This window comes from Homo sapiens, chromosome 12 (assembly GCF_000001405.40).
Source record: "Homo sapiens chromosome 12, GRCh38.p14 Primary Assembly".
NCBI classification, from domain to species: domain Eukaryota; kingdom Metazoa; phylum Chordata; class Mammalia; order Primates; family Hominidae; genus Homo; species Homo sapiens.
The window spans coordinates 21,466,743-21,493,205 of NC_000012.12; the positions used below are offsets into that span (position 1 = coordinate 21,466,743).

Genomic DNA, 26,463 nt, shown 5'->3' on the forward strand with positions numbered 1-26,463 from the left:
TTTTCAAAGGGAATGCTTCCAGTTTTTGTTCATTCAGTATGATATTGGCTGTGGGTTTGTCATAGATCTTATTATTTTGAGATACGTCCCATCAATACCTTATTGAGAGTTTTTAGCATGAAGGGTTGTTGAATTTTGTCAAAGGCCGTGTTCTTTTATACCAGGGAGTCTCAAAACTTCATAGAAATAAAATAAAAATACAATAGATGAATTAATACGGTCATGCAAAACAATTTAAATGACTTCCCAGAATCAGTTGCTGAGATATTTATGTTGTCTTGGTGAGGCACCAAGAGTCTGTCTAACCACTGAGGTTAACAGCACAGCAGACCTTAAGTAGTGCATAAAAATGAAGGTTGCTGGAAAATAGAACAAATTCTTCAGTGATAATTTGACATCTCTGTTAATGGTGATGACAAATTTTTGAAGAAGGGACTGGTTAATTAAAACATTTTTCTCACCTGGTATAGCTTAATATAGTTTCATAATATTTAATAGAAATGCTACTAAAACAGGTGTGATTGGTATCATCTTTTAATTTTAGAGGCAGTAATTTAGATAGAATTAACAAATACCAAAAATCAGTCTGATTAGTTATCCATTGGTGACTGCTTCTGTGGCAAAGATGACAGAAAGACTGTCAAACATTGAACTCCTTTAAGTGAATTTACAAGGTTAACATTTTTCAGATAATGATCATGAAAAATGACATTGTGTAACATTTTTTCATCATTTCAGATGAGGCTGTGGACCCAGGCTAGACAGATGGGATGGTATGCAGCAAAGTGCATGGCTGCAGCGAGTTCAGGAGACTCTATTGACATGGATTTCAGCTTTGAACTGTTTGCTCATGTGACAAAATTTTTTAACTATAAGGTAAGATAGTTAAGCATATTAATGCCTTCTCTGCTTGTTAGTCTTATGACTATGATAAATCATGTGATTTTCTTGCTTGAATAAAAACGTACATAGTTTTAATCATCTACAAAAAAATGACATTTTTCATTTCTTACAAACCAATACCTGGTATTATTGCTAGTCTTAATCCCTAATCATCTGATAATTATCCACCTTACCACTATTCTATTTTAGTTAAGAGGGAAAAAAATTTCTCTCTAGATCTGTTACTTGTTGGTGCATTTTTAACTTTTACTTGTGATTCATCCTTTCTTTGTGAGGGGAACTAACTGCTGTTGTACTCAAAAATAAACCAAGAGCTTTCCTGTATCTATTATCTTATTCAGTCCTCTTCACATTGACAAAGGTTGTTTTGGGTTTTTTTTTTTCCCTAATTTACAGAGAAGGAGAAACATATTCAAAAGCCTCAGGGAAATTAAGAAACTTTTCCATGAAAGCTCTAATTCAGTTCCTTGCCAAATCTTTAAACCACGACTCCACATGGTTTAATGTATCCACATCCTACATATTTATATATTTACTGTATAGTTTTAATGTTCATATAGATTGGTAGAATCACCTACCTATATTCACTAGATATTTTTAGTGTTAAAATATTAAACATTAACATTTGACTATATTCACCAGAATTTTTTAATGTCAGTGTAGAGTGTGTGATAGTGTCATCTGTAGAATTAACGCATGCTGTTGAAACATTTTCTTTGGGACTCTCCCCAATAACATTTTTAGTTATGAAATTTTGTGGCATAAGTTTTCTGCGGCTATTCAAACTTGACACAAAATAACTACCCATTACATTTTCTTTATGATACTCATGACAATAACCTTTTTATCTCTAAATATAGGTTGTACTGCTGGGAAAATACAATGCACAGGGCTTAGGTTCAGATCATGAATTAATGCTGAGATGTACCAAAGGACGAGAATACATCAAAGTCGTCATGCAAAATGGACGAATGATGGGAGCTGTCTTAATTGGTGAAACCGATTTAGAAGAAACATTTGAAAACCTAATCTTAAACCAAATGAATCTTTCATCATATGGAGAAGATCTGCTAGATCCAAATATTGATATAGAAGATTATTTTGACTAAAAATGGAATTTCTTCAGGAATCATATAAAGTTCCAAATGACACCAGAAAAATCACAAGTCAATAAAATGAATGACTGTATTGAGTTAATGATGACCACACTGAAAATTACAGAAGTGATAATGATATTAGTGGAAAAATATAAAAACATAAATTCTAAGTTTGAAATCAGTTCAAAGTTTATTTATAGATATATCTTTCCAATACAACACTGACCGCTTAGATAAAAATCTTAAGTTATTTATTTCTGTGTTTTAAACATAAATATGTTTACTTGTGATTTAGCTTTGGAGCAAATTTAGGTAAGTTATCTACTTAGCCAAATGTACTCTAGTAGACTAGAACCATTCTTTGTGAAATGTCAAAATATGGCTATGGTTTCAGGAACTTTAAAATCGGTTGTATTTTACTTTAAATAGAGATGTAGCAATATCTCGTTTGCTAATATTTATATTGATGACTTACTCCTTTTTTGTTGAATTGTACTTCTGGTTTTATAACCTGAAATCATCTACAAGCTTGTCCAACTCTAGCCCACGGGTCTAATGCAGCCCAGAACAGCTTTGAATGCAGCCCAACACAAATCTGTAAACTTTCTTAAAACATGAGATTTTTCTTGCAATTTTTTTTTTTTTAAGCTCATCAGCTATCGTCAGTGTTAGCATATTTTATGTGCGGCCCAAGACAATTCTTCTTCCAATGTGGCTCAGGGAAGCCAAAAGATTGGACATCCCTGATCTACATATTTAACTTAAAGTATCACTCAGTGAACCTCTGTCAGTATAATATTGCTTTCAAAAAGATGGTTATGTCAAAAGAAAAAATATAGCTAAGTATATAAAGGCATAAAAAACTTAAGACAATTACATGAACTTATTCTCAAATATTTTACATTTTTTGTAAACTTTCTTAAAACATGAGATTTTTCTTGCAATTTTTTTTTTAAGCTCATCAGCTATCATCAGTGTTAGCATATTTTATGTGCGGCCCAAGACAATTCTTCTTCCAATGTGGCTCAGGGAAGCCAAAAGATTGGACATCCTTGATCTACATATTTAACTTAAAGTATCACTCAGTGAGCCTCTGTCAGTATAATATTGCTTTCAAAAAGATAGTTATGTCAAAAGAAAAAATATAGCTAAGTATATAAAGGCATAAAAAACTTAAGACGATTGTATGAACTTATTCTCAAATATTTTACATTTAAAGGGTTTTACATAAAAATTTTTCCCTTGTTTTATACTGGAAAATTATATAATTCATGATCTCTAATTTTCAAACATTCTCAAAAGTTTAGATCTTCAGAGATAAGCTCTGAAAATATAGATCCATACATATAAAATATCTATGAAATTCTTTTAAAAACTATTGTCTAACTACAAAAATAATGGCATATACATGCATAAACCATCTTTAATTAGAAAATTTAGTAACATTCATATCAGGCATCATCGATTTTTCTTTTCTTAGCTCCTGTATTCTTAGAACCAGATTGCTGAAGCATGTTTGCAGCCTTCTTCTGGAAGTTGCCTGAATTTTTTTCCTCCATCTTTTTATCACCTTGTTCAGAATGACAAGTTTGAGACGATTCAGCCTACAAAAAAAAAAAAAAAACAAAGCAAGCACCTTGGTAAAAATCCAGCTATTCAGTTTTCTCATGAGATTAAATATTTCAAAATATTCTTTCTGTATCAGTTGGCTTTTTAAGTATACAGGGGTCTAGTTTTTTATCTACAAATTTCTATTCAAATATGAGCTCTATTTTGAATAAAAGGGGCTACGTTGTGAGAGAAGTTCTAAAGACCTCAAATGTCCTTAGACACAATGGCACTTGACTTGACATGCTTTTGCAGACTTGATAGTATTTGGTTTAAAACAGTGGTTTCTAACCACTGGAACAGCAGAAACAGACTTCTCAACTATTAGTAATCACAACCAAATAAGAGCAGAGTGCATAACAAAATTAGATATTCAAACGGAGTCCTCCCATTCCAAGAAACTGGAAACCCCTAGTTTATGTTAAAAGGCCAGTCTAAATTCTTTCACTTACATCTTTACAGAAAACTATATTTTCTCTCTTCCATACCCAGAAATCTAATCAGAAAACTGACTTTTCTCATGTTCAACTGGACCTAGGGGAATATGACAGAAAAGCATCCCATAGGCTTTAATATACTTTTTAAAATATATAAAACTGAAAATTAATAGCCATTTACCCTGAAAGAGTTCTGCGTGGACTTTGTCACTTGCATAGTAATAGCATGTGCCTCATTGTTCAGAAGATTAGCTTTAGGTCCTATTTTCAAATACGAAATGGTAGCATAAGCTGTAAAACTGTAGTCTTCTCTGCAGAAAATAAAGGCCAACAATAAGAAAGCTTTTGAAGGAATCACGGAAAACAAATTTATAAAAGAAATAACTATATGCGCAGTAATTCTTAACACATTGACTTGAAATAATAAAATTTACAAGAATGCAAATAAAGCCTTTAAAGAAAATATTTTCGTTACTTTTTTTTATTTATAGTGATTAAAGTTTGAGTGTTTTAGGTAAATTACTTTCTATAGCATTTAAAAGTTCACACAAAATAACTGCAAAACCGTTTATTCTGTTGCAATTTTTAAAAAAAAACCATAAAGACAACCTGAAAGAATAATGAATGAGTTTGTACATACTTAAGATACTGCTGTATTAGAAAGTGTGCAATAATCTTCTCCAGATCTTCACGAGGAAGTGTGGGAGCCACAACACCTGCTACTCTCAGTTTTGCTGCACCCTTTCCCATCCAAGAATCAATCAGTTTCAATGGAGTGAGTTTTTCATTCAGTTCCTCTGCCTGCTTCAGGATCTTGATTAGATCTCTGCAGTACTCTGTTATGTTCTTTCTTTCAAATGCTGTAATAAAACAAATATGGTAGCAGGTAATTAGGATTTAGAAATGAGGGCAAAGATAGGCTATCTTAAGTAGTTAAACTGGTTTAAAGCTGGTTATCAATGTGAGCCACCCTAAACATTGATTTTTAAATGTATTCTGAATTAAGACTAGGCTATTCCTCAAGTCTCTGTCACTAGACCAAGTTATGGTCTCTGTAAGCATTGTGGGGTTTACAGTGATATATATAAAAAAAAATTGGTTATCAGAAGCCCTGCCATATACTCTAGAAATCAGAAAGTGTCTGCCAGACATGATTACTAAGTTACTAAGAGGTGTGTTTTATAGGAGACCCTGTCTGTTCTAGTATAGGCTCCTGAGTGAACTCTGATTTAGCAACAAGAATGTCCTCAACTGATAACCCAATTATTAAGAGACCAGTACTCTGATTTATATATAACACTCTTGTTATTTTATAAGATAGTCTAATAAACTCATAAATTTCTCTGTCTGCAAAGTTAAAAATACAGTGGCTTCCACCTAACAAGGCATCAGAACTCAGTAAGGTCTTACCATGAGGTACTGGCTAGTCCAGATCTTGAAATACAACACACGGATGAAAAAAAGTTAAAATATAGTGCCAAAATGCTGCAGGCAAATCCGAAAATTGGGACTCAGCCCAGGAGGGTTCCCAGTTTCATGCAAGAAACAATCTGAGAGCAAGCCAACAGAGTAAAGTGAAAGCAAAGCAAGTTTATTAGCAATAGAGTATAGGAAAATGGCGGCTCCATAGACAGAGCAGGGCTACCCCAAAGGCAGAGTGGCACTGTACATTGCTCACTAGCGGTATTTATAGCTGCTCCTTAGTTATATGCTAAATAAGGGGAAGATTATTCATGAATCTTCTAGAAAAGGTTAGGGAGTTCCTAGAACCATGTAATTTTCGGGCATTGTCACGGCATTTGTAAACTGTCATGGTGCTAGTGGGAGTGTCTTACATCATGCAAATACATTATATTTTCTAGTTCTAACTTGTTTGGGCCAGTTTCTTTGCTATATCTTGTTTTGACCAGATCCTGTTTTGATCAGCAGGGTTGTGACCAATGCTCAGAAAACAAATCCTGCTGATCTACATTTAAAAGAATTTTAAGTAAATCTCCGATGACTAGCCATTAACTGGATCAAAAGTGATTCTCTATAGTCTCTATTTTGCACTAAATTTTCTTTTCAATTAGTGACTATAAAGTATTAGAGATTATCACATGGTTTCCCTTTTCTTATAGAATAGCATTTCTATTCAGAAAAATTCAAATATTTTCCTTCATTTATTAAAAATTTCACATCCTCAGTATAGCAATATAAAATGTGTGCATACACATAAGACTTTTCCTTTTATTCACCTTTGTTTCAAAACTTCATGTTGATAGTTTTAATTCTGGAAAATCTGATTCACACTTTAATCTTTTAAATCCATTTGGAAGTCTAATACTTCTCTCATGTCCCAGCTGTATATACAGTTTTGTGCCACATAATATTTTGGTCGGTGATGGACCACGTATATGCCAGTGGTCCCAAGAGATTATATAATACCATATATTTTTTTTTGAGACGGAGTCTCGCTGTCACCCAGGTTATAATACCATATTTTTACTGTACTTACTCTATGTTTAGATACACAAATACTTAACCATGTGTTACAGCTGCCTGCAGTATGCAGTACAGTAACACGCTGTACAGATTGGTAGCCTAGGATCAATAGGCTATAACATATCACCTAGGAGACTATACCATCTAGGTTTATGTAAGTACACTTTGATGTTTGCACAATGACAAAATCACCTAGTGATGCATTTCTCAGAACGTATCTCTGTCACTAGGCATTATGACTGTATTAGCCTATAAAGGTTTACAAAACAACAAACTCACCACTGTCTTTACAGCAGTTATCGCACATTTTGTTACATGCTTCTGAGTTCCATACTTCATCAAAATGTTGAGCCATCAACACACGACGACATCTGCAAACACATTTAAAGATACAAATTATTAAAGGATATAATAAAGTTTTAAGAATCTCTATTTCAGCTTACATAGTTATATACTGTATTAGCTTCCTATAACTGCCATAATATTACCATAAACTTAGTGGCTTTAAACACATTTATTCTTACATTTCTGTGGTTTAGATTTAGAAGTGTACTATGGGTTTCACTGGATCAAAATCAGAGTGTCAGGTTCTTCTCACATCACACAATCTAAAATAATCTCCCTATTTTAAGGTCAGCTAATGAACAGTCTTAATTCCATGTGCAATGCTACTTTCCTTTTGCCATGTGAGGTAACATACAGGTTAGGAATTAGGACGTGAACATCTTTGGGGGGCCATTGTGCCCCCGACATAGGACTTTTTTCCCCACATATTCTTGATAAACACTGTTTAAAAAATTGTCTGAGTTCCATTTTTAAATTCAATGTTTTGCAACTATTAGGAGAATATTCTTGACAGTAAAATAGTTTCTTATATTTTAATAAAGTAGCAATATTTGAGTTGAAACCTTAAAATATGCTTCATGAGACTCTACTGGCCTTTGGAAGACATTTTCATTTTCTCATTTCTTTTAACTAGATTATTGTAGTATCTATTGGAAAGAAAGAACATTTCTATCACTGTCTGGCTGCTATTTACCACCTCGACATTTCTGAGCACTTCTTATGTGATAGGCAATAAAAGCACAAAGATAACTATGACAGAAAGCTTTCAGGAAGCTATCTAGTCTAAAGCCACCCTAAGTAGATTTAAACTTACTTCTTAAGGAGAAACTTGGTATTTCATTGACACATGAGCTGGCAAGGTGGCACGTTACTGAGCTTGACTCTCAAAATGCCTATCTTAACCATAGACCTTTTCAAAATTATTAAATCATGTAACTGTACAGCAGTGCCAGAGAAAAAAAGCCTTCAAGTTGCTATCAATGTGTCTCAAAAACCTTCAATTAAAAAAGTAGTTTTGGAGGATTATCTCAAAGATAGGGCATCTTTTCTTGAACTAAGGCAGATCATACAGGTTGATGTGCTGGTTCCTACCCTCCAACATCTGCTTTTATGGATCTGCACTTTGGTGTTCCACCAATGTATTTAGTAAGAACTTAAAAACGATGTCATATACTTTCATATTTGCTTTAATTGATAAAAGTTATAAAAAGGTATGTGGCTTACTTGCTTATGTTTTGACAGTATGATACCATCTCATAAAGCTTCTGCTGTCCCACATTTTCCATCACCACCATTGAACTTATTCTGAATATATCTCCAAAGCCGTAGTACAAAATACAGTCTGCTTTCATGTCATCTCGACCTGTGGTGTGAGAAACCTTGAGATTGCAGAATTACATTTACAAATTCAAAATATGCAAAAATGACATATGGTAAAATTAGCAGGCAATGTTTTATACTACATCTAGAAATTTTAGAGATGTGGAAGTTAATTTGTAATGGGTACCCTCAAATTAAAAAAAACTCTAAAGAGACATCAATAATCAGCTCTACTAAGTTAAAAAATGTGTCTATAATCCAGTTAAGTTATAGATTTGAAATCACTAATTAAAAATTCAGGAGGCAAAGATGAACATCAAATTATCTTAACACACATAAAAAGAAACAATTCAGATAACAGAACATAAGTAAAAATTTCTCCATATGCAAGTAAGTGTCAAACTGCTAAAAATACATTGTTCTAAAAATACTATCCAATAAAGATAAAACATACAGACTTATTAAGCATTTATCATGTATTTTTTGGAAAAGCTTTCTAAAAATTTACTTCTGGATTTGAGTCCTACATACCTGCACGTCCACTCTCTTGGTAATAATTTTCCATGGATTTACTCATTGAATGATGGATAACAAACCTCACATCTGGCTTATCAATTCCCATACCAAATGCAACAGTTGCCACTACTACCTGAAATATTTTAACATTTTATCAGTTAATTAAATCAAGTTTAAATATTTTAAAGGTAAATTAGGCTTCTATGGAAGATATAGACCTAACCTGAATTTCATTGGCTGACCATTTTCTATGAACTGTGGTCTTATCTTCTGGCTCCAAATTGGCATGGTAAGCACCTGCATGAATTCCCAGATTCTGCAAACTAACCGTAACTTGTTCAGAGTCTTTCTGAGAAAAACAATATATGATTCCTGCAGTAAAATATGTGCATTTGTTAGATAGATATGGCATATTCCTGGAAGATGGTTTTCAACACACACATTCAGGACATTGATTAATACAATGCACAGAAGGAAAAAAAGAATTATGAAAAATTTCAAGGCCTTGTGCATATATTGACATTTTGGTATAATTCCAGATTTGAGCACCAGCTTCCTTTAAAGCAGAAATGAGCCTGAGCCATCAGTTTTTGTTCCTGTTATCTCTTTTCTCTCTTTAACTTTATCTCCCACTAAACAGTATTTCTCAAACTGATGTCTGTAAGATGCTAACAAATGTGCTATGAATGCAGTGTTCTCCAGATTAATTTTGGGTTAATTTAGATTAATTTGCATGCAAATTAATTTGGAGAACATTGCATTCAACAAAGTTAAATGGGTGTCTCTCTTTATTTTCAGGGATGGTCAGAGCTTCTAGTTTGCTGATACACCCTGTGAACATCCAGGCAGAATAAATACCTGCAACCTTTCTCAAATTCATTTGACCCTAGAACTCCTTTTACCCAGGACTACCTCCTGAAAATCTATAGAACAGTTTAAAATGCTACTTTCACACAAATTCTTTGCTTCAGTAACATTTGCTTAGTCATTAAACCCAGAAAACCATGTATATATACTCACAACTCGATCTGTGCTTAATCTATTCAGTATGTACTACTGGATTTATTTATTGCTTTAACGTGTCCTTTACTGTAAGGGAGTATATTTTCTATCCCTTTAGAATATCAGTTGCTTAATCCACTATTTTGTACACAGTGGATACATACTAAATATGTGCTGTTGATAATTAACATTAAGTCATCAGGTCTATTCTAAAGCAAGTGTAAATAAGCAAAAATAAATCAGGCAATTTGACGACTCATAATCTATGGCATAAGCAAATGTCACACCCAATTTCTAAGATCAAGTGAATTAATTTTATCACGTATTTTCAAGTATCTTCTGCTATACATTAATTTTTTTTGGTGTTATTCAGTTATCAGTATAATTATCAATATGATATGAAGTCACTTTTTGAAAGTTATCTCTGTCTCCAAAGTTGGTTTGTTTTTACATTACCTGATTGCCCTTTGTATCTCCCATTAATGAGCTTTACAATATCCTCAATAAAATCTTCAGTGTTTGAGGGCTTCTGCCGAACCTAAAAAAAACTTAACTTATTAAAAAGTAAATGAATGAGTACCATCCAAGTGGCTGTCTATGTACAACTTTCAGGATGCAGTTCTTTCATGACCATAGTGTTTTTTTTCCTATTACTCTTTCACTTACTCACAGGATTCAACCCATCTGACTCATCTGTTCCTCCTCCCAGACTCTTCTTGATCTTTATTTTTTTAATTTACCAGAGAAGAGCAAGCACATGAGCAGTGAATAACTTGCAAGGATGCAGACTTTTTTATTTTGCGATGCTACTTTTATAAAAACAAACCGTAACATAAATAACTCTTTAATGAAAACTCAGAAAAATATTAAATCTATTCTTAAAAGGGTTTAGAAAGAAAGAAAAGACAGCTGTTAGGTTATTTGATTTTCAAGTTTATCAAATAAAATTCAAATAGAATTGGCAAATCTTTAATGGCATATGAATACTTCTATCACTTAGTAATTAATTTGAACAGAGATGTTATTAGGGTCCTTAGTATCACTCCATCCTTTCTCTCCATCTTTATACAAAAAAGAACATACAGAAATTTAACAAAGATATATGACTTACTCATATGTTTTATAAAAAGTATCACCTAGCAGGTGTCTTCCATTTAATCTAACAAAGGTTTATGTAGCAAAAGATACATGAATGAAGCCCTAATCACAGAATCTACTTATAATTACCTCCTAATGTTAAAAATTTTTGTAAGTACTTAACTGCTCATGTAAATAAACATAATAAAAAGGCAGATCCCCTCTGCGTAATTCTTCACAAAAGTAAGGAATTGACATAAAAATTACATACCTCATAATATAGATTTGGCCTATTAAAAGAAGCTGTAAAAGTAAAACACTTTTCAATGCACAAAATTTTCTGAGCATCCGTCAAAACGTGATTTGTTGCAGTTGCAGTCAGCCCAATTAGTGATGCGTTAGGGAACTGCCGCTTTAAGATACCAAGTGCCTTATAATCTGAAAAAACAAACAAAGTGGCCCTTTTTCTATCCTTTAAGAGTTAGAGTAAATTATATCTTTTAACATTATGCAGATAATCGATGACTACTATGATTTTGTTTCCACAGCCATCTATAGCAGTAAATTTGCAGTTCTGTGTTAGCCTCTTTGATGGGCAGGCTTTATTACGTTTATTTCAGACATTACTCTTGGTCACGGTGGACTCAAGAGACAGTGGGTATAGCCACAGTGTTTTAATTTATTACAACTAACAAAAGATAAAACAGGCCATCAGACAAACCCCTGCTACCACCTAGTGTCATCAGACCAAAAAAATCTTGGTAAGGGCGGCACTGCTTTGTATATAACCTATTTCTCGGAAACCATTCTAGGCTCAAACTTGTTATAAGCATCTACATCACTAGATAAATTGTCACTTAAACTATTTGGAGGAAACTGAAAAAAATGTGGTAGAAATTGCTTACATGCTAAGTAGAGGACTACTATGAAAACAAAGAGGACAGAGCAGCTGCTTGGGAAGTGAAGATTTCAAGGAGATAATACTTGAGTTGTGTCTTAAGAGAATGAGCAGAAGTTCACTAGGAAGAGACGAACATCACGCAGAGGAAACAGCATATACACTGCAAATACACTGACATGAAATTAGTATGTTCAGATAACAGCAAGCAGTTCACTGGGGCTAAGTCACAGAGTCTTGTGGTGGATGGATTTACTGTCCAATCCATTAAGCTGTGAATTACATCTCCCAGAATCTCTTTCCTGTTCCAAGTTAGAGCTGACCCAAAAGAGGGACTTGTGCAAGATTTGGTGGCAGAAGTGAACCAGCTAACATCACTCCTTCAAGGTCTTTACACGCAGAGAGGATGATGGACAGATGCAGAAGTGCTCAGCCAGTTCTAGGTCATCCTAGTTCTTTTCCATTCCTCATTCAGCTGTTCCTCCCAACTGCAGGTCCTGCCAATCAACAGCAGACCCACAGAGGCGATAGCTACTCACAGGAAGTAGCTTACCAGAGACCTTTCCACGAGCTTCCCTTTAGGGGTCCCCTTTGCCACTGTACATGCCAGCTGCAGATTTCCCTACAAGCTCCGCCTCGTCCTCCTGCACCAGTGCTTAGGTATCAATCCATTACTTTTCTCTAATCCTCCAACTCCCCTCTTCAGACCTGCACTTCCCCAGTTCCTCCCACAATTGTTCAAGATCTACTTCCTACAGTAAAACCGTTATCCCATAACATTCATCGTGACTCTGCTTCTCTGCCTGAACCCTGACTGACACTGTTATGTACAAGGCAGGTTTAAGAAAAGCTATGAACAATTCAACCAGTTGATTCTAAGCTGAGACTTTATCCTACAGGAAATGAGGAATCATCATGTAATTTTTTTTTTTTTTTTTTTTGAGATGGAGTCTCACTCTGTCACCCAGGTTGGAGTGCAGTGACACGATCTTGGCTCACTGCAAGCTCCACCTCCCGGGTTCACGCCATTCTCCCGCCTTAGCCTTTCGAGTAGCTGGGATTACAGGCATACACCGCCACACCTGGCTAATTTTTATATTTTTAGTAGAGACGGGGTTTCACCACGTTGGCCAGGCTGGTCTTGAATTCCTGACCTCAGGTGATCCGCCCGCCTCGGCCTCCCAAAGTGCTGGGATTACAGGCGTGAGCCACCGCACCGAGCCCATCATGTAATTTTTAAAGACCTATGCTTCATAAATCATCTTTTGGTGACAGTGCAAAATACAGACTGGAATAGACAAAACACTGAAGGAAAACCAGTTAAAAGATGGCAGTAACAGACCAGAAAACAAATAATACAGAATATAAAATGAGACATGACATTCAGGATAAATCAAAAAGAGTAAAGAGACATACATGAACCTACAGGTCCTAGTGACTACTGGGATATGGAGGTGGCAGGGAAGAGGGAGACAGTGCTGGATTTACCCATTCATCAATAGATAAATGTTGAACACCTTTTTAATTGTGTGCCAAGCATTTCCCTAGGCACTGAAGATAAAGTGATGAACAAGACAAAAATGCTATGCAAATGTGTCTATAATTCAAGCAAAGAAACAAGACAATACAAAGAGTAAACCAATAAATATGCCATTAGAGAGTGGTAAGTGCTCATAATGATAAGCCCAGTATGCTGGGGCTTAAGAAGAGAGGAAGAGTAGGAAATCAGGTAGACAGATGGGGGCAGATCACATATTACCCTATGGGCCCCAGTTAAGAACGCTGGGTTTTATTCTAAGTACACAGTAGCTACTGGGTAGTTTAGGTAGGGAAGTAACATGATTTGATGTGTATTTAGAAAATATCACTGGTTGCTCTGTGGAGAATGAACAAAAAGTGTAAGAACGGAATCAAAGACTACTTAGGAAGCTGCTGCAGTAGACCAGTGGAAGGGAGCTCAACTGTATGTAAGACGTAGGTGCACAGAGAGTAGACAAACTTGAGATTCATTCTAGAGGCAGAGCTGACAACACTTAGTGGTGGACTGGATCTGCAAAGGGAGGGTAAATCAAGGACGGTGTGTCATCCATTTTTTTTTTGTCATCTCTAACCCCACCCTTCTATACTGTGCTTTGGGATGCTGCACCAAGGACTCTGCACACTACGCATCAGCTTTGCCTGCTGGCCCTGGATGGAAGACACCATGGCTGCTTCCTCCCTAACTGCTTCCTGTGGGCTTGCTTGTGTTCCTGTGACTGTCACCCCTGCAAGGCTTCTCATCCCTGCAGCAGCACTTCTTTCCTTAAGAGCAACTAAATACAGTTGGCACTTTTCTCAGCCTTTGGAGAACCAGCTTTATCACAGACGTACCCCACCTCTGCCTCTACCAAGAGACTCCAGCACCAGGGAGCTCAGTTCCACAAGCCCTCTTCATTAAGTTTCTAAGTCTTATTTGTTCCAATCTTTTCTTCCTGTTCTCCCAGCCCTACAGGTGGTTGTTGCTTCTTCCAGTTTTTAACTCCATGATATCTTCGTTTTCTTTTTACTTTTTCAGTTATCTATTTAGCTACTTTTTACCTAGTTCACAATTCTTTCTAAAAAATTCTCTCTGTTCAAATAACTGTCTCCTGACTGGAACCTAAATGATAAAGATAACTGCTAAAATTTTGGCTTCAGCAAACATGTGAGTGAGTGGATGATTTTTTAAGACAGAGAAGACTGAAGGGGAAATTGCTTGGGAGTAGAGAGGAGAACGGAGAAAGGAAAGGCGAAGAAAACAAAAAGTTTTTGGTTAGAATGTCGAGTAGAGTTATGGGGAAAATATTCCCAGTTGAGAAGAAAAAGAGCAGTTCTTTTGGGGGAATTTAGTTTTGGTCATGCTAATTTAGATACACATTTCTGATAAACAATTAGGAGTATAAATTTAAAGTTTAGCAGTTAGCTAATTAGATATGGGAATAATGTTTTACACTTTGGCAGCAGATCCACAGAGACAACATAAGTCATGGTAATACTTAAGCAAGGGTGATAATCATAAGGGATCAAACCATTTAGGTTGAAAATAGGGCAAGAGTCACAAATCAGGTAACTTCAGTGGCCACCAGGTAACAACTATGTGGCGCTATCTGGTTAAGAAAAGAGGGGCCCTTAATAGAAAGGCGTATACATCCCGTTTAAGGCATTTAAATCTATTTAAAATATATAAATAAATAAAAACAATGCCCATAATAATTCTGTAGGTAGAGAATGCAGTCTTCGGGCTACAAGCTCACTATCCCTGGAGAAACGTAAGAAAGGGTAAAGACTGAGGTCAGAACCCTAGGGAACACTAATATTTAAAAAGAAGACAGGAAGAGCGAAGGAGGTGAGAATGGAAGGGAAGACACTGAACAGCACTGCTGTACAGTAACCAAGGGAGTAGAATGTGGCAAGGTGAGAGGTGAATATATAAAATGTTACTGAAGTGAAGTGGGAAGAGGAATGAAGATGAGACCACTTGATGAAGTGGTCTCATCTGGGGGTGGGTCACCGATGACCTGTTTCAGTAGTATGGTGGTGGCAGAAGCATGATTCAATGAGTTCAGAATGGGTTAAAGGTGAAAAATGGAGATGGTAAGCTGAGAAGTCTGATGGTGACAGAAAGAACAGAAAGAGGACAGTAACATTAAAAGGTCAGAAGGGTGTTTTAGTTTCTGTTTTTAGGGAGAGGACAAAAGAGCCTGAAGGTGAAGGAGTGAGGAATTTGGCAGTGCAAGATCTTAAGAAGGCAGGAAAGGATGAAACGGGAGTGGTCATGGTTAGCCTTATAAAGCAGTGGTCTTTTCTGCCTTAACAAAAGAAAAAAAAAAAAGATTACTAATGTTTGAAAGTAGAAAGAGGAGCTGTTCATACCTGATGGCATCTATTTTCTGTGAAGCAGAAAGCATCTGCTAAGTACAAGTTAGGGCCTGAATAGAAAGTTAATGATAGGAGACATTTGTTGGAAGAAATGTATAAAGGAGTTGAAATAGGGACAAGTATAAGGACGGCTGAGGATAATGAAAAGCTGAATGGAGTTATGCAATTTTTGTTTTTTTGACAATGTTTAGTAGCCAAGCAGCAGGAATGGGGAAAGCCAAAGTCTAGATGAATCCAGCATCTCAGGCACAACGCCTGAAGCAGACTGGCAGAATGGCCAGGCAGTCCAGGGCAAATATAACAGAAGTAAGGGGCAACAGCACAGTGTCTGGACGGGAAACAGAGTGATTGCTATGTAGGGACAGGAGCCTGGATAAATAAGCAGGGATTAAAAGAGGGATCCAGCAAATCCTAATGTGTGAAAAGCTTCAGAAGGAAAACAGGTTGAAGCCAGGGAGTCGGATTTTTGAATTTAAGATTTTTTTGCATATAACAATTCTGAGTAACTTACTTTAGGCTATGACTGTAGGATTAGGTGGTGGGGTGAAGAAAAAGGTCACTAAAAATATCTCATCAAAGTTTCATGCTGAGGAGTTGTATGTGGGTGCTGAAAAGACCCTCAGAATGATGACTAAAGATGACAACTTTGAAACAGATGCAAATTCTTCAACAAATGTGAAGGAATACCTAGATGTCATAAATGCCACAAAGATGTCCACTATTGGCTAGTAAACATATGTGTCCATATTTGTCCATAATTGACAAGGGCAATTAAACTACAGACTACAGTGGGGAATGAAACTAAACATTCTGCCTCTCAGTCCTCCTCATAATGAGGCAAGATAAAATAAGTAATACAGGTTGATCATCCCAAATCCAAAAAAATCCAAAATTTAAAACCCTTTTGGTTCCGAACATTCTGGATAACGGATATTCAATGTGTAACTACTTGAGGATGATTTTAATAGAAGCAGAGATTTCCATCATGCCAAGCTGAGTAAGGACACGGTCTATGACATCAAAAAGTTTTCTAGATAAAACATACATACCAGGTCTGAAATCATGTCCCCACTGACTACAGCAGTGAACTTCATCCACAGCAATTCGAGTAAATCTCCTTGCTTCATAGGCTTTCTCTAGTCTTGACATAAACATTTTGCTTTTTGCAATTTTCTCTGGAGTCACATAAATCAGCTTTAACTCGGAGTTTTTATTTACCATTTCAGCATGAACCCATTTAACATGCTCCTATTAAAAGAAAAAAATAGACACAATGATAGTAAAACTAAGCTAGCAGACTGAAATACTAGGTGGTAAATGAAAACGTTCATTTCTCCAAAGCAATAATAGCCTTTGGCTCTTCTAGGAGCAGATGTTTAGTTCATTAAAACTGAAACCATGTCTCAGTACGAAACATCATGGCAGCTGTGTAAATAGCATTCTAGTTATTTACTAACGTCTACATTGTTGATGACTAAAAAAAACTCACTTGACAAAAAAGAACACAAACAGATACTCCAATGAAGAGCATTTATTCTATGAAGGCATAATCCTAAATTGTTCATAATATATTCTAAAATGTGAGCTAGATGCAATTGTTATGGTTATAAAGGTGGGTTTTATTAATTTTAACATTATATTTATAATCCCTTTATGTATGTGAACAAAATTTATTATTTATTAACTTCTCAAATGATACCATCAAATCTTTTAATCTCTTTATTTAAATATAAAGACCATGGGGTTTCACAAAGTATCACTCATTAAATTAAGATAATAATAATAAATCTTAAAAGGTAACAGTTATTAGATTCTTAGTACTCATACAATTCTATACAATACTTAGCATATTAGATGTCATTTTTTTTCCTTCTAATCTAAAGAGGACCAAAAAAGTATAAAAACATGCCAGTGAATGAGATAGAAAGAGACAGTCAAACTACTTTCATCATCCCAGCAAAGAAGCAGTTTGTTAACTCCTAGATATATTCTAGGATACAGATGTTCTTTTTTTCTCTCTCCAACTTTCAAGAGTAGGGATATATCATGAACTTGTAATTATCTGCAACTTTCTAAATTACTTTCTATTACTATTATGTTCTTTTTCAATTTTAAGAAAGTACATTATTAGAAGGCAGTTTTCTCCACAGATTGATTTTGTTGGAGGAAGGAGCAGTTATAATAGAATGACATGGAGTTTAAATAAAACAAAAATATATGGGTAAACTAAAGGAACCAGGGCTTCTTAGAGGTATGGCTGACTCTAGGTCTGGGCAGGAAATGCATAAAATGAACATGGATTATCTTACTGCAAAAGAAAGCAAGGAACAGAAGCAATGGGGTTAAGAGAAAGGATTCAGGAACCAACTTAAAGAGGCTCTCACTGCCCAAGGACAGGACTATTTCAGCATTACATATATACATATTGATATATATATATATATGATTCCAAAGGTGAATCATATTATACGTCAAAGCTTGTAAGTTTATAGTGATACTTGGGGAAAGAAAACCTTAAAAATCTTGTTGACCACCTTTGGAGAATGCTAGAAAACCAACTCTTTCTGAAAACTCATAAAGAAAGGGAAAAAAAAATCAAGCATTTTCATCATGCAGAGTTAATGAGGAAAAAGTTTATTTTTGTAGAAAAAGTATAACTAATACATGAAGAAAGAGTGACAGAATTAGATATCACCATTTTGCACCTCCCTAATGAAATCATGGCTCTCACGGTGCCACTCAGTGGCTGCTAAAACCATTAGATGAAAAACTGATAACCAGAGATCAGGCAGACATCACTTGAACCCACTGACGCTTAGCATCACAAAAAGATAACCAGGTACTATGTACCACTTGAGTGATACCACAGTAAGTATACTCTTGCAAAAAAAAAAAAAAAAGTTAAAGAAAAATTCCAAATACAATCAGGCTTTTAGATCTAACTAAAAGGATCCAGTTACCTATGTAACAAACCTGCACATCCTGCATATGGACCCCAGAACTGAAAAAAAAAAAAAGAAAAAGAAAGAAAAGAAAAGAAAGAGAGAAAGAAAGAACACCACAAGGACGCAATCAGGAAAATGTAGAAAGATACAGGACAGTTAACCCAGTTTCTTCAACAAAGAATTTGCATGGGAAATATAAAAGATATAAAGAGAACCTATGGGTATATCAACCAAATACAATACAATGCATGAATATTATCTGGGCTATATTTTTTTTTAAAAAAAACATAAAAATGAGATAGAAATCTGAATTTTTTTTATAATTCTAAAGAATTGATTAAACTTCTTAGATGTGATGATGGCACAGCACTTTTCTTTAAAGTTAGAGATACGTACTGAAGAATTTACAATTAAAATATGATGTCTGGAATTTGTTCTGAATAAATAAACTAAGAGGAAAGGGGTAGGGAAAACTGGAGGTATACAGATTAAAAAAAAAGATTAGCCGTATGTTGATAACTGTTGAAGGGGGAAATGGCTACATGGCAGTTTTTATGCTATTCTCTCTCCTTTTGAAGATTTCAGTAATATGCTTTTTAAAAAAGAATAGCTGGGAAATGCTTTATTCTACAGATGAGGGTAAGACAGTCCATTCCTAAATACAAGAAATTCCACAGGTATAGGGTAACTTCTTAATAATTCATATTTCATATTTAATTACACTGCATAATTAGCAATTCTCCCTTACTATTTTAGAATGGATAATACAAAACAGGTCAGCAAATGTTTCCTGTAAAGTATCAGACAAAAATATTAGGTTTTATGGGCTATAAGGTCTCTATCACAACTACTCCACTGTGCCATTATACTGTAAAAGCAGCCATAGACAACATGTCAACAAATGAGCATGGTGGTGTTTCAATAAAACTTTATTTATGGATACTGAAACTTGAATTGCAAATAATTTTCCCATTTCACAAAATATTCTTTTTAGATTTTTTTTAGCCATTTAAAAATATAAAAACCATTCTTAACTCATGGGACATACAAAAATAGACAGTGGGCCAGAACTGGCCAAGAGCAGTAGTTTGTAACTCCTGATATAAATAGTTAACAGTTTATAATTTTATAAGCAACTCAACTGCAGGTAAAGCTCCTATTTCAGTGAATAGTTTACATTAAAAAAAAAAAAGCCACTGAAACATACCTTAGAACTAGAAGCATTTAACATGGTTGCTGAAATTCCTAATTGTTTTAAAACCATTAATTGGTCTTCCATAAGAGAGATCAATGGGCAAATGACGAGTGTAAAACCTAAAAGAGAAAAAAAAAAAAATCTACCTTAAACTTTACACCACCCTCAGAATCAGATGCAAACCATTCACGTTTTTTTTTTTTTTTTTTTTTTTTTTTTTTAGAGATGGAGTCTCACTCTCTTGCCCAGGCTAGAGTGCAGTGGTGCGATGTTGGCTCATTGCAACCTCTGCCTCCCGGGTTCAAGCAATTCTCCTGCCTCAGCCTCCCGAGTAGCTGGGACTACAGGCACCTGCTGCCATGCCTGGCTAATTTCTTTTGTATTTTAGTAGGGACAGGGTTTCACTGTGTTGCCCAGGCTGGTCTCAAACTCCTGAGCTCAGGCAATCTGCCCACCTTGGCCTCCCAAAGTGCTAGGATTACAGGCATGAGCTACCACGCCCGGCCCATTCACCTTCTTAACTTGTGGGCACTGGCCATCAATTCAGATTAATTTTTAATGCAGCTTTAGTAAAGCTTACTTCTTACTCTCATTAATTAGATATGAATAAATGACCAAACAAGGTAAGTAGAAGCCAAATAAACATACAACTAAACAGAACTCTATCCTTATAAAAATAAAGACAGATTTTTATCATTTCAAATGTTTAATTTGCTATCGTTTTAAATAATCACTATTGGTAATTTCAGTAAGACAACATATATCAGTTCAAACACTAAACAGTTTCATCAGGGAAAAATCACTATAAAGCTTTCCAAAAAAACCAGATTTTTAATTATACAGTAGTGTGTATAATTAAACATGATAGTTGCATAAGCATTCTTTTACTTTTTGTACGAGATTCATTTATGCTGAGTAGAAATCAGTGAACAGTTTACTGTCTGAATGAAGTTATAGTAATATGCCCCCTTCCTTATAATTGAAACTGTTTAAAGTACAAAAGCTATTCTACAGTTAAAATTATATATGGCTTTACGTTTCTGTAGTTTGTTTCTTAAAACAACCTTTGGCAAAGAGCAGACATGTTTAAAAAACATAATCAAATTAAGACCTTATTAGGGATTTTTCCCAGTCAATTATTCTCTCTCCTATTATTTTCACTTTTCCTTACTAGCACCTACTCATTACATTTAAACATGGTCAAGTCCCTCTCATCTTGGAAAACACCCACTATGGTCTGAAAGTTGGTATCCCCACAGAAGTGATTAAGTAATGAGGGCTCTGCTTTCATAAGTGGGATTAATGCCATTTTACAAAAAGTTGAAGGGAGTGCCCTTTCTTTGCCGCCATGTGAGGGTGTAGCAAGAAGGTGCCATCTATGAGAAACACCCCCTCTCTAGACACCGAAATCTATTAGCATCTTGATCTTGGACTTCCCAGCCTCCAGAACTGCAAGCAGTAAACTTCTGTTGTTTGTTAATTAACTGATATAAAGTATTCTGTTACAGCAGCTGGAATAGACTAAGATAACATCTCATTTATGGCCCACTCTCTTCTTCCCTTCATAGTCATTCTTTTCCAAAGAGAATCCCATACTCACCAGTTCCACTTCCTCAATTCCTACCTGCTTCAAACCATTGCTATTTGGTCTCCACCCAACCATTTCAATAAAATTGCTCTAGCTAAGGTCATAGATGAGTCCTTTGTCATTAAACTCATTGAAACTTACATCCTTACGTATTTGACATTTTGCTAACAGACATCACTATTAACTACTCCCTCATTCAAACACACCCTTCCCTAGCCTTCTAATAACATCATACAATCCTGGTTATCCTATATGTTGCTACTCTTTCTCAGCCTTGTCTGCAAGCCCTTTTTCTCTGTTTATCCCTAAACTCTTGGTGTTCTGGTTTCTGTTCTAGGCCTTCTTTTCTTCTTATGCTGCTCTGAAATTCATTCCAATGGCTTCAGTGGCCATCTCCACACTAACAACCCCCAACTCAGACCTCTAACACCAGGCTTTAGACACAAACATCCTCCTACTCATAGGACAATTCCACCTGGATGTCTTAAAGGCATCGTAAATTCAACATGTCCCAAATAAATTCATCATCTTTCCCCTCTCCATTCCCAAGAGTTCTTTCGCCAATGTACCCCATTTCAGTGAAGAACCTCACCACTTGTCCAAGCCTAAAATTTGAGTATCATTCTTGACTCTTCTTTCTCCTTTCCCCCCAAGCAATAAATACCAAGTCCCATTGAATCTATCTTCCAGATGTATCTGGAATTCATCTAACTGCTAGAATTATCCTTCTAAACCATGAAATAATGAGTCTCTTACCTGTGTAAAACTCTTCAATGGCTTCTTGCTAAAATAAGGAAAAGTTTTAAAAATAAGACTCTTTCCACATGTCTTACCACTGACTGCCACATAGAAATTCCTCCAGGTTACTGAATACATCATAATGTGAATGTTCTCTCTTGCTTTTGGATCTCAAGTATTGCTTTTCTGAATGAACACTCTTCCTTCCCTGTCCCTTCTGCCTACTCACCCTTTAAACTTTAGCTTAAATGCCACTTCCTCAGAACAGCTTTCCCTGACAGCCCCTAGACCAGATCTTTGTACAGACTTAATTCCCTATTAAAACCTTTATCCCAAAATTCTTATTGCAATTGCTTGCAATTACCTGTATTCTCTAAACCAGGGATCAACAAAGTAAGGGCTGGTTGCCTATTTTTGTAAGTTATTTTAATGGAACACAGCTACACCCATGTGTTTACACATTATCTGTGGCTGCTTTTGTGCTACAATGGCAGGGTTGAAGAGCTGCCAAGGAGACCATATGGACCACAAGCCTATATTATTTACTATCTACCCTTTCAAGAAAAAGCTTGCTGATCCCTTGCTACTACCCAATCAGTAATATCAGTAGCACTAGCGAACTTGTTAGAAATGCAGGATCTTTGGTCTCACATAAAATCAGAATCTGCACATAATCAAATTCTCAGGTGATTCTTATGTACACTAAAGTCTGAGAAAGTGCTACTCTACACTATGAGTTCTGTGAAAACTAAGACCACGCCCATTTTGCTCACTACTGTGTCTCCCAGTGCCTAGCACCATGGCAGACACTCAGTAAAGATCTGGGACTAGAATTCAGGTCTACTGATTCTTCTTCCAGAGCTGCTTCTCCTACAACATTTTTGGGTTTTTTTGCCCCTTGTATCTTCTGTTCAAGTGTTCTATAGCACTGTAGGGTGAATATGGTTAACAATAATTTAGATAGGGTTTCGAAAAGCTAGAAGAGAGGATTTTGAATGTTCAGTACAATATGTTTTTAAATTTATGTTTCAGGAACCAGATAAAAGGATTAATCTCAGAAGTTTTTAAAACTCCTCCTTTAGGGAGAGAGGAGGGCAAGGGCTGAAAAACTACCTAGCAGGTACTATGTTTACTACTTGGACGATGGATCATTAGAAGTCCAAATCTCAGCATCACACAATATACCCATGTAACAAACCTGCACATATACCCCTGAATCTAAAATAAAAAATAAATAAAATTCCTCCTTTAAGTGAAACTTTAAATTTCTATTAATATAGAAGAAATCAAACAAAAATGCACTTGATTTTTATATATGTATGATTATAAATTATTTTTTAAAAGAATTAAAAAGGTATGATGACAAAGCACTTCTTCAACTCAAAATTAATTTTTTTAGTACATACCATCTGAACATAATGCTGGTAACTGGTAACATAAGCTCTTTCCACCTCCTGTAGGCATAACAAGAAATACCTCCTTTCCAGCCATTGTTACGTTAATAGTTTCAAGCTGAAGTGGTCTGAACTTTTCCAGTTTAAAGACATTTTGCAGAATATCTTTAACTTTACCAGACCATGGAAAATCTAGGAAAAGAAAGTTAAGAATCAGACAAACATGTAAGACTATTATAGAAGTTTGATAAGAATGAGACAAACATATATAAGACTTCTAATACTTATAGACCATTAAACTTTTATGATAATAGTTTTGAGATTAACTCACTAGCTAAGCAAAGCAAAAACAAGTTAAATGATGTATTATAAGACATAGTAGGCATGGTGGCTCATGCCTATAATCTCAACAGTTTTGGGAGGCCTAAGCAGGAGGATTACTTGAGCTCAGGAGTTCGAGACCAGCCTGAGCTCAAGCGATGGCAAGACTCTATCCCTATAAAAAAATTTTTTTTAAAGTAGCCAGGTGTGGTTCTGTGCACCTGTAGTCCCAGCTACTAAGGAGGCTGAGGAGGGAGGATTGCTTGAGGCTGGGAGTTTGAGGCTGCAGTGAGTTGTGGTTGTGCCACTGCACTCCAGCCTGGGCAACAAAGCAAGACCCTATCTCAAAAACAAAAAAAAAGTAACAAATGTAAACATTTGCCAGTTGAGAATTAACCCACACAAGAAAGGAAGGTGTTTGATCAGGTATTTAAAAAATTGTCTGAATGTTGATCAGGGAATTCACAGCATCATAAAGTACTCAAATATCATGAACAAAGTTAACAATTATCTGGAATTTTTGGTGTAAATATCTTGTTCAGACGTGAATCATTGAAAAGCAACATCCACAAAAAGCACAATCCCTTCTAGAGTTATTCTAATTATTCTATTATTCTATTTATAATTGATAAACTTGATGTTTGATAAGGTCTTGAATCATGAAAGGTTTGTTCACTAGGGCAGGAAAATGATCTAACCTTTGGCAAGGAGTTTGAATTTTTTTTCTTAACTGTTTGTTAATGTAGGTAAAGGAAGTATCTCATTTTCTAAACATGATCAATGTTGCTGTAACAATAACTGGAAAAAAATGTCTGAATAATAAAAGTTTAATTTGAAGACTACAGAACACAGGGAAAGAATGATCCACCTGCAAGTTTCCCATTCCACTGGAGAAATGGCCAGTTTCACCTCTAAGCCTACTGGAAAGCACTGTCCCATCAAGAATTCATTCTAGTTTTTTAAAATATGAGAAGAAATAAAACTAGCAAAAAAAAAAAAAAAAAAGTTAACCTTCTTTATTCCAAGCGGCAGGTGAAGAATCATATTCATTGCTTGCCCCGGCATCAGAATCCTCTAAACACTGCTTTATTTTCTTTGTCAGGACTTTTTTTTTCTGAATAAGCTCTTGTTGCCTTTCCGTAAGTTCTTGAATTTGAATTTCTACTGCATGTAGCTCACTGGTTATAGAATCCAGTTCCTCAGTTAGAGCTATGGGAGGCAGCGCGGATACAATGATTAGACAGAGTAAATTACAACTTTAGGTTTCCAGATTGATTTCTGGGTGTTGCCCGCCATATCAATTACAGACAAACTTGAAGTAGTATAGCAGAATGGTTATGAGCATGTTTTTGAGTCATATAGACCTAAGTTAAATCTCAGGTCCTCCTTTTACCTGCTGAGTGACCTCAGACAAGATACTCACCTGCATCCCCATTTCCCTTCCTGTAAAATGGGGACAATATCTAACTTTCATAGTATTTTTATGAAGAGCTAGTGAGATAATATATTAGGAGTTCTAGACGCAGTACCTGGTACACAAATATTTAATACATGATAATTATTTTTATTATGTTGTAGAGAAGTGGTCTAACAATCTCCTAAATCATTTAAGTAAAGTATCAGACTTTGAAGCAAAAGGAAGCTAATTCCCTAATTACTTTGCTATTACTTTATGAAGGTATTCCTATTTGGGCTCACTTGGTGGTAAAAGGAGTTGGTAATTATAAACAAGAGGATGTAACAAGTAAGAGAAATCAAGTGTACTATTGGAATTGGCATTTTATCTCCTTTGTAACTAATCTATAAAGAAACCCCAGTGTATGATTCTAATCAATCTAAGTATTAAAGTCAAAAAGTGAGATGCTTTTTGATACCACATCGATGGAAGCTAGAAAAATCTTAAAGATGTTCTTGGTGCATTCTCATATACCTGCCTGCATTAATCAGTATACAGGTTTAATGTGCTTCTTCATGAGATATAATTTATGGCTGTGATTTAAAATAGGATGTTGGGGTACCTTTTTATTGTACCAACTGCCATCATCCCTTGTATCAACCCTTCCCTACATGACTTTGGGTTAGGTTTGGCCACAAGTGAACTCTGCATGAGATTTACAAGGCAGAAATAAAGCAGCAGCCAGTTTTACATTGGGATGGTTGGCCTATGGCCAGGTGCTTCTGGAGCTCACTCATGATATTAGGAAACTGCTGCCTCACTTTGTGGACGTGGGGCAGAAGCCAGTTCCCCCAGCTCCTGCTAAATCTTGGTGGAACAACTTGGCCCACAGATTCTTTGGCTTCTTGGTCATGTTGCTGGCCAACCTTCTGTGACAAGTGCACCAGCTTTTCAGCAGGGCACCAGCATCCTAACTTTGTCCTCATGAATTTCAACTTATCCTTGCAGCTTCCAGCTCATCCATACCCTCCCATACTTCACACCCATCTTCCTTTCTCACTGCTGGTACTGCTGACTTCAGGACCAGAAGCTGACTCAGGGATAGCTGCTTAACCAGCTCCCATGATCACATAAGTTTTAATCCCCATAATAAAACTTACAGCACTCATAATGGTTCAGCTTACCTGACTGAACCCTAACCAATACAGAATTTTGATCCGGAAGAACAGAAACTTAACAGGTTCTCTGAATTGTTTCTGGGCCACATAGAACTGGCTTTCTGATCTGATTAGATTTCAAGGC

At 35.7% G+C, this 26,463-nt stretch overlaps 2 protein-coding genes across 12 annotated transcripts in view; one reads left to right on the forward strand and one right to left on the reverse strand.

Moving 5' to 3' along the window:
- PYROXD1 (pyridine nucleotide-disulphide oxidoreductase domain 1) overlaps positions 1 to 4,508 on the forward strand; it is a 33,596-nt gene extending 29,088 nt beyond the window's left edge. For all 4 annotated transcript variants that reach the window (NM_024854.5, NM_001350913.2, NM_001350912.2 and 1 more), the window contains 2 exons: positions 739 to 876; positions 1,764 to 4,508. In NM_024854.5, coding sequence (NP_079130.2) covers positions 739 to 876; positions 1,764 to 2,012 — 387 coding nt within the window. In that variant the 3' untranslated portion in view covers positions 2,013 to 4,508. The remainder of the gene's footprint in view (positions 1 to 738; positions 877 to 1,763) is intronic.
- The window catches only part of RECQL (RecQ like helicase), a 32,726-nt gene continuing 8,430 nt past the window's right edge, over positions 2,168 to 26,463 (reverse strand). For all 8 annotated transcript variants that reach the window (XM_047429300.1, XM_047429299.1, XM_005253464.5 and 5 more), the window contains 13 exons: positions 24,777 to 24,974; positions 23,457 to 23,636; positions 19,737 to 19,843; positions 16,634 to 16,832; positions 11,061 to 11,227; positions 10,169 to 10,250; positions 8,934 to 9,082; positions 8,726 to 8,843; positions 8,099 to 8,237; positions 6,809 to 6,900; positions 4,686 to 4,905; positions 4,227 to 4,356; positions 2,168 to 3,604 (listed from right to left, as the gene is read on the reverse strand). In XM_047429300.1, coding sequence (XP_047285256.1) covers positions 3,452 to 3,604; positions 4,227 to 4,356; positions 4,686 to 4,905; positions 6,809 to 6,900; positions 8,099 to 8,237; positions 8,726 to 8,843; positions 8,934 to 9,082; positions 10,169 to 10,250; positions 11,061 to 11,227; positions 16,634 to 16,832; positions 19,737 to 19,843; positions 23,457 to 23,636; positions 24,777 to 24,974 — 1,934 coding nt within the window. In that variant the 3' untranslated portion in view covers positions 2,168 to 3,451. The remainder of the gene's footprint in view (positions 3,605 to 4,226; positions 4,357 to 4,685; positions 4,906 to 6,808; positions 6,901 to 8,098; positions 8,238 to 8,725; positions 8,844 to 8,933; positions 9,083 to 10,168; positions 10,251 to 11,060; positions 11,228 to 16,633; positions 16,833 to 19,736; positions 19,844 to 23,456; positions 23,637 to 24,776; positions 24,975 to 26,463) is intronic.